Source organism: Homo sapiens, chromosome 5, assembly GCF_000001405.40.
Source record: "Homo sapiens chromosome 5, GRCh38.p14 Primary Assembly".
NCBI lineage: Eukaryota > Metazoa > Chordata > Mammalia > Primates > Hominidae > Homo > Homo sapiens.
The window spans coordinates 57824554-57836476 of NC_000005.10; the positions used below are offsets into that span (position 1 = coordinate 57824554).

At 38.5% G+C, this 11923-nt stretch overlaps 2 annotated features.

Annotated features, from left to right (window-relative positions):
* Positions 8329 to 8623: a silencer, noted in NCBI's record as "tiled region #14061; HepG2 Repressive non-DNase unmatched - State 24:Quies". NCBI's record gives its function as "represses a minimal TATA promoter and a strong SV40 promoter by Sharpr-MPRA in HepG2 cells {active_cell/tissue: HepG2}" and the evidence as "EXISTENCE:reporter gene assay evidence [ECO:0000049][PMID:27701403]".
* Positions 10699 to 11207: an enhancer, noted in NCBI's record as "NANOG-H3K27ac hESC enhancer chr5:57131079-57131587 (GRCh37/hg19 assembly coordinates)". NCBI's record gives its function as "activates a minimal SCP1, AML or CMV promoter by ChIP-STARR-seq in naive H9 embryonic stem cells {active_cell/tissue: H9 hESC(naive)}" and the evidence as "EXISTENCE:reporter gene assay evidence [ECO:0000049][PMID:30033119]".

An 11923-nucleotide genomic window follows, 5' to 3' on the forward strand; every position in this document is an offset into this window, starting at 1 on the left:
TGATACATCTTCTATTTGTTTAAGCAGCATAACCTAATGTCAAGTAAAAAGAAAAGTATAGCTGGTTTTTGGGAAAATCATAAATAATTTTTAAAATTTAGTCTATAAATTTTTTAAGAAGTATATATATTCTTTTGGAAATCATTTAGAAACCCTTGTATCTCCTAATAAGTTAAGTGAGATTATGTGTGGGTCAAGACAGTCTGAAAAGGGCGTATGTGTGAATATATGTGTATCTATGATTGCATATGTGTCTCTGGGGAGGAGTGTGTCTGTGTGTGTGGAGTGTGTGTCTATGTATCTGGGTGCCTGTGGATGTGGAGAGGACAGAGCATGGGGAAAAACCATACTCCTACAAATTCGTCCCCTCCATTTGGTATCAGTTCAACATGATAAATGCAAAGATGAAAAGAATATGGAGAATGTCTTGTTAATGGTAACACCTGGTTCAGGAAGAAAACATGGAGCCAAAAGCCTTTATTCCTAATTCCTCTTTCCCGCAGCTGCCAGTTGGGTGTGTCTTGCTAATAGTTTTAGTACATTTCATGAGTGCATAACAAAGTGTAATTTTTTAAAGTAGAAAAGCAGTTGCTGGTGAGTCTACTGAAATGGTTTATTTTACAACTATTTCTACATTCAGGAACTTATATAAATATTTAATCCAACCACTACATATTTGCTTGCTTCCTCAACCACATTCCTTTACACATGGGTAGACCCTGGCTCTGCATGCCAGCCAATAAGCATAATTTATCTCATTTGTTCTGCATCACTACTCTTTACAATAGGTGTCTTGCCTCCATTGACCACTGTAGAAAGGAAACTCGATAGTTAAGGAATTTGCTCTAGGCCATTCAGCTAGGAAGTTGTTGAATCTGATACAGATTCATTAGCCTGCACAGCCCATAATTTCCCACTCCTGTAGTGCTTCTCCAGTCTCTCTTTGATCCTTTCTTTCCTATTCTCTTTACCCTTTGACTGATAAACTTGATGACTTGAACTATATGTTGATTCCTGATAACAATTTTAATATGTAGCATTTAATGGTCAATATTTTCAACAAAATGGAAGGATTATTAGTAAAACTTGGGTTCAAATTCTTCCTCCCCTGAGCCCAGAGACGAATGAGTGAATCTTCCTTCTATTTCAGAAGAAGCTCTCAAACAATCACTTAGCTAACTTGTCTGTTGCAGCTCTGCAGAAGAACAACTCCATGTCTGTATCAAGTTTGTTAATCCTGTGTTAGGCAGGACTCTGCCTGTTGTTTGGATATATTCCACCTTCAGATGCTCCATGTTGAGGCCCATGTTTTTGCATTATCTAAATAGCATTAAGAGAAGAATCACTAAGCCATCTCCAGAGTCCTATCTGAGAAGAGTTGAGAAATGGTGGTACTCTCTGGGTCACTATAGGTGTTCCTAATCTATGCTTTTATCTTGGCTTCTCTAGCAATCTGAAGAAGATCTCTAGCTTCATTCATAGCTTGGTGATGGTATTCATGAATAGGAATGCTTGTTGCATTTAAATTTAATTTAAAACCATTGTATTGTGATGCTGATAAAACACTGAACAAGATTAGTATCCTGGATAACATTGGGTTTACTATGCTTTGGTAAATGGATAATAATTGGGTTGCTTGTAGCCTTTTTTTTTTTTTTTTGAGACAGTGTCTTGCTCTGTTGCCCAGACTGAAGTGCAATGGTGTGATCTCAGCTCACTGCAACCTCTGCCTCCCAGGTTCAAGAGATTCTCCCACTTCAGCCTCCTGAGTAGCTGGGATTATAGGTATGGGCCACCACCCCTGGCTAATTTTTGTATTTTTAGTAGAGATGGAGTTACGCCATGTTGGCCAGGCTGGTCTCGAACCCCTGACCTCAGGTGATCTACCATCCTTGGCCTCCCAAAGTGCTGGAATTACAGGCGTGAGCCACCACACCCAGCTGCTTCTTGCCATTTTTCTCCACCCAGCTAAGAGGTTAGTGTTCATGAATGATCGCTTCAGCTCCTTATCTCCACTTGCAGCTTTTCATATTACCTAAGACAGCAAATTTACAGCTTGATCTAATCTCTTTGTTTGTTTGTTTGTTTTGTTTTGTTTTGTTTTGAGACAGGATCTTGCTCTGTCACCCATGCTCACTGAAACCTTTGCCTCCTGGCTCAAGCAATCCTCCCACCTCAGCCTCCCAAGTAGCTAGGACTACAAGCATGCACTACCATGCCTGGCTAACTTTTTTTTTTTTTGTATTTTTAGTAGAGATGGGGTTTCACCATGTTGCTCAGGCTGGTCTCGAACTCCTGGGCTCCAGTGATACTCCCACCTTGCCCTCCCAAAATGCTGGGATTACAGGCATGAGCCACTGCACCTGCCTTTACTACTCTTAAACCTCTTTAGAACTATCTCTGCATCCTTGACGTTAGCCTGTAGCCTAGTCATAGCCTTTTTCATTCTCTAACTCAATAATGTTCTATTTTTATTCAAAAATAGAAATAGGTAGAACAACATTTAAGATTAAAAAAGCATTTTTATTTGGAGGTTAAAAAAAAACTCCTTGCAAATTTGTCTCTTCCCTACCCCTTTTACTTTGATAGAGCTTGAATCATTTCTTCTTCATTTGATTTAATAAAAACTTTTAAATGCTTTTACATTAAAACACCTTGTTTAAAAACAAAGAAAAAATAGAGTTGAAGAAACTTATTTTGCTTGTCTATAAATATTTGTAATACTACTGGAATTTATTGAAATGTATATAAATTAGATGTGCTAGATTAGTTACAAGAAAGTACAAAACAATGAGATTTATTTTAAAACATAGATATTATTTAGAGAACCACATAACAAAAGCAAATCCTAGAGTATCCCTCAAGTGAAGCCATTTGAAAGAAACCTTAACTCATCATATATAATATGTAATACTTGTACAGTGATAAAATGATCAGGCTAGTTCCATGGGAAGAGTAAATACATAAGAAAGTTCACTTAATATTTATTACCTCATTAAATTACAAAGCATACAATAACATGCTATTGCACACAGTATGACTATGTCAAGTGTCTATTAAACATAATTAAAGCCAGCAGCTCTGGGCATAATGAGATTTAGACTACATGAGAAATATTAAAAATCTACTTGCCTAAGTCCTTTTAGGCAAAATTGATTATATCCTTTGCTCACCTAATGTATTAGTTCATTCTCACACTACTATAAGGGCATACCTGAGACTGAGTAATTTATAAAGAAAAGGGATTTAATTGACTTACAGTTCTGCATGGCTGGGGAGGCCTCAGGAAACTTACAATCATAGCAGAAGGCATCTCTTCACAGGGCAGCAGGAGAGAGAATGAGTGCTGAGTAAAGGGGGAAGCCCCTTATAAAACCATCAGATCTCATGAGAACTCACTCACTATCAGGAGAACAGCATGGGGAGACTGCCCCCATAATCACCTCCCATGAGTTCCCTCCCATGACACGTGGGGATTATGGGAACTACAAATCAAGATGAGATTTGGGTGGGGGCACAGCCAAACCATATCTCCTAAATGTTAACAAGTTCAACTTTTAACACTAATTTATCAAAGCAGTTAAATTCTTAGAAGACACTATTTTGGTTTATTTCAATTCTATGCCACACCAAAAGCAATCAAAAATAGGTTCCTAATGAACTTAAGGACCTATGGAGGCTAACCCCAAATTCAAACTAATGAAATCTCAAAGCAGATGTGTTTTCAATAAATGTTCCTTTATCTCCACACAGACTTTGGCAAAATCCACTTGTTCATCGTCATTTAAAAATATGGCTAAAAGATTCCACTGATTCAGATACAGAGATGCATTACATCTTCCAAGGAGTTAACAAAGGAGGATGGAAACAATGAATAAGCTTTGTTTTGAAATCCAGTATCAAAAACTTGTAAGTTCCTAGGCCTCCTTATATTTTAAGCACCCATGTAATCCTAAAAACATCTCAAAAGTACTCTTGGTATTCTGACACTGTTTTTGTCATTTCATAGCTTATAAGAGTAAATTTAAAAACCTAACTATTTAGAGACATTTTTATACTTTGCCATTTAAAAGACATGTAAGTAGAATTTATCCTATAAAATTAAAGAATATTTTAAAAGGTTAATAAACATGTTTTAACTAAATTTTGGGGAGTAACTTTTCCTCTAAGTGTTTGGAATTGATTGAGCTTGTACATTTACTAATCAAACACAAGTCAAACACGATCTTTTTGGGACAAGATCTAGATCTAAGAAACTCAAAGGAAAATGAATTTAGGGTTTTACATATTTAATAAGCAAACACCCATCTCTGTTTTGCTGGGTAATTGTCTTCCTAATACTCTTTTTAGGAAACATACACACACAGGCACACACACACAAACACACACTAAAGAGTAGGGGTAGAAACAACTAATTACTTACTAAGACATTTCTTATTGAATACTGATTTTCTTCCTGGCCTGTACCAGGCTTTGAGGATATAAAAATTATGTTTTTTCCTCACAGCACTCACACTGTTAAATAATTAATCCACTGATTTCTAGACAAGTCTTTATGAAGCACCTACTAAAGGTAAGGCACTCTGCTCAGAGGTAAGGATGTATTAATGAACCAAACAGGCCTGGTTCCTCCCTTCATGGAGTATACAGTCCAGTGGGGAGCATAGACACTCATCAGATTATCAAGCAAGTGCATGTAGAATCATCACATGGAATCCAAACGCGCGATAAGAAGTATATGGTTCTATATAAGCACAAAAGTGTGGGATAGGATTTGGTCAAGAAAGTGAGAAAGGTGCTAATTATGTTAAAATCATAAACAGTGGGTAGATATGAGTAGGAGCATCTAGGAAAAAAGGAGAAAACAGCACATTCCCAGCAAAATAACCAGTACTGTGGATTGACTCGTGTCCTCCCAAAATATATATTCAAGTCCTAACCCCTAGTACCATGTGATCATACTTGGAAATAAGATCATTGCAGATGTAATTAGTTAAGATGAAGTCATACTGGAGTAGGATGAGCCCTTATTCCAATATGACTAGTGTCCTTATATGTAGAGGAGAAGACACAGATGGGGAAGGTTGCCTTATGAAGACTGAGCCAGAGACTGGAATTATGCTACCACAAGCCAAGGAACACCTGGGCTGCCACAGATCAGAAGAGACAAGGAAAGATCCTTTCCCAAAGACCCAGAGTATAGCCCTGCCATCACCTTGACTTTGGATTTCTAGCCTTTAATTCTGTGAGACGACACATTTGTATCATGTTAAGCCACCTAGTCTGTGGTTCTTTGTTACAACAGCCCTAGGAAACTAATACAACCAGCATCAGTAAAAGCGCCGTGGCAATAAAAAACATTTCAAATAGAAAGAACCAGAAGAAATCCAGGATAGCTGGACACTGTGTGGTAGCAGTAGGGTTGCTGGATAAAATACAAGATGGCTAGTTATATTTTAATTTCAGAAAACAACAAATACCCTTAGCATGTGAGTCCCATATTACATCTAGAAATCTGACAAAAATATTTGCTTATCTGAAATTTAAATTTAACTGGGCATTCTGTATTTTTATATGCAAAATCTTGCCACCCCAGAAAGAGGATACATGGTGAAAGTTGATGGCAAATAGGTATAGAGAAATGTCTATGCCTCTTTAGATTGTTAGATTGAAGTGGATTAAATTTGTGGGAAGTGAGAGAATGGTGACAGCAGGTATAGGCAAGCTTGCAGAAATTTAGCTGTGAAAGGTCTAAGGAGCTGAGGATAGGAATAGGAGAATGAAGAGTTGAATGAGGCTGTTTTTGTTTTTTGAGTGGAAGAGGCACATGCATGGTTAAGAGCCAGATGACAGAATCTACCTGAGAATTTGATTATATAAAAGGCAATAAAGAAGGGATGTTAAATATTTATAGCTCATAGAAAAGTGATAAATGATGGGATACATACAAATGATGGTTTTAGATAGAAGAAGAGGCATGTCTTCCACTGCAACAAGAAGGCAGGAGGGCAGCAATGGTTCACTGTGGATTGTTTTGAGTATTTAATATTAGGGAAATATTTAATATTTGGGATTCTCATCAGATAATCACATACTCTCTGTTTCCCATATTCTGGGAAATTCTTAACTATGATTTAATGAATAATCCTGGATGAGGTTACATGACACGGTTTGGCTGTATCCCCAACCAATTCTCATCTTGAATTCCCACATGTTGTGGAGGGACCTGGTGGGAGTTAATTGAATCATGGCAGCAGATCTTTCCTGTGCTGTTCTCATGATAGCTGTTCTCATGAGATCTGATAGTATTGTAAGGGGGAGTTTCTCTGTACAAGCTCTCTCGCTCTCTCACTTTTTATTTTTTGCCTGCTGCCATCCATGTAAGATGTGACTTGTTCCTCCTTGCCTTCTGCCTTGACTGTGAGGCCTCCCCAGCCATGTGGAACTGTAAGTTCAATAAAACCTTTTATTTGTAAATTTCCCAGTTTCAAGTATGTCTTTATCAGCAGCGGGAAAACGGACTAATACAGTACAGCCATCCATAAAACACATTTAAGGTATACTTATAGAAGTTTTGTTATGGAATTCATACAAGTGTAAGTTTGAGTTAAAAATATTTTAATGAAATCCTGGAGACAGATTTATATTCTAAAGGCTGAGAACCCTTTAAACTAACAGGCAAGTTCATATGCTAAATACCAGAAGGAACAAAACTGTTTCAGAGGTTTGAAGGGAGAGGAGGTGTAACTAGTTATTGTGAATTGGATTGAGCAACCCAAAAGGATGTCAAGCAGTGTGAGTGGCCCACTTGAGTTTTAATCTCAACAATTTCACAATAATATAATTGCTACTTTTGTTTAATGAGAAAAATTTACATGAGGGCCATGGAGGAGGAAATAATTAGTGTAGGGTAGAAGTGAGGAGAGTCCAGACAGGTGTAAAAGAGAAAAAGCAATGGGGCTGATCTGGCCATGAGGAATGAGTAGGATTTTTCTGGTATAGAGAAGGTGGGAATGGAAATATCTTGCCAAGTGTACTGGAAAATGGAAGCAGGAAGAAAAAAAGGTCTATTATTTAGTTCTCCTTGTGTCTGTAATAAGCTTAAATTCTTAATTTAGGGGAGCAGAGAAGAGATAATAAAAGTTGCATCAATTTGGAGGAGGGACAAATCACTGAAGGCTGAGATAGTTGAAAAGGCTTCAGAGAAGACAAGTTGGACCTGAAAGGAAGAAAGGCAAAGCCGTCCTAAGTGGAGCTGTGGTGGAAGTGTGGCAGATGAAAAGACATGGTGCTTGGAAGGCCTGGTTTTTGTTCCCAGACTTCTTTTTAGATGCCTCAATTTTTTTTTAAATTAGATTTACATGTTTACACATTTTCTATATTCATCTTATCATCCTATTTATGTAGGTATTTGTGATTCCTAATCTTACTACAGAGGCTACCATATTTATTTTTCAGCTTCAAATTTCCCTAGAGACTTTCTTGCCCTTGGACAGGGAAGTAACCCAGAAATTCTACTCATCCAGAAAATATGTATGGGATGCCTCTTTTCCACTCATAGCATTCTATAGGTGTGATAAGTTCTGTGAGCCATCCATATCAGAAATGGTATCGGGTGCTGTGGAATCCAACACCAGGTAGTATGGCTAATCATGGCTCCACAGGAGAGAGTTCAGAGGGAGAGTGAGCACATGGCTGGCGGGATCAAGGATAGCACCATGAGGGAGCTGGGGCTCTGCAGTGTGTTCAGCCTTTAGAAGATAAATCTGTCTCCAGGATTTCATTAAAATTTTTTCATTCAAACTTACATTTTTATGAATTCCATAACAAAATTTTTATATGTATACTTTAAATGTGTCTTATGGATGCTGTACCCTCATCCCAGGATCATTCATTCAATCACAGTTAAGAATTTCCCAGAATATGGGAAAGGGCACCCTGGGTTTTTGAGGTTTTCACTGGTTTTCAATTTTGTAAGGACAATTAGAATACTTGTTTTGTTTGTTTTTGGTATAGTACTAAATTGGTATTTTAAAAATTATATCGTTATAACCGTCTTACTTTTTTGTTGTTAAAATGTCCTTGTTTTATGAAGTAATGATGGTCAGTCAAGAGGTTTTTGAAATTTGTTTTCTCATTTTTAATGTCTATGCTCACCAGAAATTGTCTTTCACTTCATTTGAACTTTGGAAATCTGGGAAACTCCAGTTGTTATAAAGAGTTGCATATTGTTCTCCTGAGGACTGAAGTCAAGGCTGCTTCAGGTTGTCATCAATACACATTATATTAAGGGTCACGTGTGGGGACTCTGGGTTGGGGAAGCCTCCTTTCTGCTTGTGATTTGGTTGCATGACTGTCCAGGTGAATAAAATCCACTTGAAAGCAACTAAGTCCTTTGCTGGCAGGAGTCAGAAGCCCTTCCCTTGATGAGGGCTGGAAGCCAGATGTAATGCCAAAACATGCGTTCACCTCCTCCTGCAGGGAAACAAAACAAAATGAAACAATAACAACCACCTTGGACCACTCAGCATCAGTAGCTCTGCCAGAAAACACATTATATCTCGTGTTTCCATTCTCAGGAAATCAGTGGTGAGATTTTTATCAGGGTAATTCCATCATCACATGGGCATGGACACTGCCCTGGGCTTGTCACCATTGAGATGGTAAGAGTCCTAGGCACTCACTCACTGCCACTCCTTCATAAGCTCTGAAACAGAGGTCTGGCCTTCCTGTGTTCCTGGCCACTTGGTCTTAAACTGGCCAGAGAAAAATGAGCACTCTCTGCTTGAATTAGGAATCAAAGCCATTTTAAACAAATGAGAAAATCAGTTCAGGCTAGTCTTGACGAAATTAATGTGTAATAAGAAGTCTTTCACTGTAACTAGAATTGACTATATTTCTGCTTTGGAAAAGAAGAAATAGAATATTCCATCACTACAGAAATATTCTTGTGCTACCCTAACTTAAGGCTGTGATGTAGCTGGATTTTAACATTGAGTTAGTGAGGGTGGGGTAGGGCCTTCACTGTTGGCTGGTGCAATGAGCAAGTGCATAAAAATGGGCTATTTCCTGATTACCATCTCTCCACGGCTTATGGTCTTGTTTTCACCCTTCTTTTAATGTTGCTTCATCATAGCCTTAACAACTATCATGCCAGCACGTCAACATACTACCTTTAAGACATTATCGAAATGTGCCTCTTTTGGAGATTATGCTGAGTAGGAGCCCAGGTGTACTTCTGGAATGGACCCATGTCCTTTTCCCAGTTATCTCTCAATCGTCTGGTTTTATTAAAAACATGGCTGGATTCTGGCTTAATCCATAACCTTTTAAAAATCATCTTTCCTGAATAAATATGAAGTAAATTTTTCCTCGCTTTAGTGTTTTTTTTTTTTTTCTGGCCTGAAAAAATCCATGGGTTACTAAAAACGCTTGCATTACTTAATCATCATCATCTAATCAATTGCTAATGATCTAATTGTAATAATCATTAACTAACATTTATTTAGCATTTACTATGGACTACGCATGGGGCTGAACCTGTCCTCATGTGTGTTATCCATTGGCATATGACTTACATACATGAAGTGTGACATAACATTAATAGCAATATGGGTGATGTGGTGTAGAGGCTGTAGAGTTAGACACACCTGGTTCCAATCTTGACCCCCTCACTTGTTGTCTTAGGAAGTTTAATCTTTCTCAGGCTAGATTTCTTTTTCTCTAAATGAGGGACAACACTACCTGTATTGGAGAGTTACAGTGAGAATCTGAGAGCATTTATGCAGCTTTTGGCACAAAGTAAGCCTCAAAAATCTGGTTACAGCTGGGCACGGTGGCACTTTGGGAGGCTGAGGTGGGTGGATCACAAGGTCAAGAGATAGAGACCATCCTGGCTAACATGGTGAAACCCTGTCTCTACTCAAAAAAATACAAAAAAATTAGCCGGGCATGGTGGCGGGCACCTGTAGTTCCAGCTACTTGGGAGGCTGAGGCAGGAGAATGGCCTGAGCCTGGGAGGCAGAGCTTGCAGTGAGCCGAGATCACGCCACTGCACTCCAACCTGGGCGACAGAGGGAGACTCCTTCTCAAAAAAAAAACAAACAAACAAAAAACAGAAAACAAAAACAAAAACCAAAACCTGGTTACCAGGTTTTCGGTTACCTGGTTACCAATGCCCTGGTTACCATTAAAAGGAAGACCAGGAGAAGTAGTGTAGGAAGAGTCCACCAAGCATGAGGGGACAAAGGAAAATCACAGAATTGTGGCAAGTCAGCTTCTGAGTGAAGAATGAGATTTCTACGACAGTAGAGGTGGAGGAAGTCACATTGAATGAAATCTATTTAAGATTGGGGAGACTATTGTTTGTTGAAGGCCAATTATGAGTCAGGCACTATCAAAAAGTATTTTATGCACATTATCTTATATAATTCACACTGCAAGTAAACAACAGGGGAAATAATAGCTCTATTTTTTCCAGTGAGAAGTTGAGGCTGAGGAACTTTAAGTCAGTTTCCAAGATAACACTGGTAGTAAGAGGTGGGGCCTGGATCGGAACCCATTCTCTCTGGCTCCTGGGGTCACGTGCTTTCAACTGAGGCAGGATAGTGCTGTGGTCATTAACTCACATGATAGAGCCCCGCTTTTGAGTGCATACAGCTTTTTCTAGTTTTAGTCCTAACCTTCTGGAGGTTGTTTTCATTCCCTAGTGCAAGGGGTGGAACTCTGCTTCTCTGGAAAGTGTTTCGGCCGAATGTTATTCCAGCTATTGTCACTCTGTGGGGGAAGGAGCCTGGAGCAAAGGTACACAGACTCTCCTCTCTGCAGGGGCCTGACAGTTCCCAGGCTGGGGCTTGCCCAGGCATGATCCACAGCACTCTGGAGTCTATAGGCAAACCTAGAAGAGAGCATCTGTGCCTGTCACTTATCCCTTTACTTGTCCTGGGTCCCACAACAGAAAATGGTGACATTCATATTTAAAAAATGAGATCTGAAAAAAAAAAAAGCAAAACATATGTCAATGGAGGAAAAAAAGCAAAACATTTATCTGGCACTGTGCACTGCATTTGGGATTTCACATATGTGATCTCATTGAATCCTCACTACAAGCTTCTAAGGTGCACCTTGTTTTTGTTGCAAAAATGTTAAACAGAGGCTTCCTTCAGGTCACACAGGCAAGAAGTTTCAAAACTGCAATTGACACTTAGGATGATTTAACACCAAAGATTTGACAGACACAAAAATATTAGGAGTTAAGCAAAAAGTGTTTATGTTGAGAAACTACAAATATTCTGAATAAATTAAAACAAATTGTGTTTTTCATTTTCTATCCACAAAATGCTGCTCTTTTATTTTCTTTTTTGGGATTTCTGCAATAAAACAAAATCATAAAGGATTATATAAAATCAAACAACATCAAACAGGATTTCATAATAAAACTTTTGGTCAAGTGAGGTCATACTTTATATATCGGACTTGATTTCTCACAGTGGCTCAAATAGACATCTGTTGACCAATGGAAAACTATATCTGTGAATGAGCCGTGACTTATAAAGCCTCCAAAACTCTTTGGAAAAGAAGAAATAGGAAGCACTTCGTCTTCTATTGTGTGAAAGCTGGAATGAATATGCCAGCTCAAGGATGTAAAGGCAGTCTACATCTTATGTGTGTGCTTAGCTTCTTTGTTCAGCTGTTAACAATGTATATAAGGACATGCTACTAGAATATTGTCAAGTTGTCTGTAATTTACTTTGACATACTTCAGCATTAACATGGTGAGATGTGTGTGTTTTGGGTGGGGGGTTGGGGGGCGGTTGTTTCATACTATTCCCTGGGGTGGTTAATTGCCCTAGATGGAAATACATTTCCATGGCATATTGGTTTCCTAGGGCTGTTGTAACAAATTCACACAGACTATGTGACT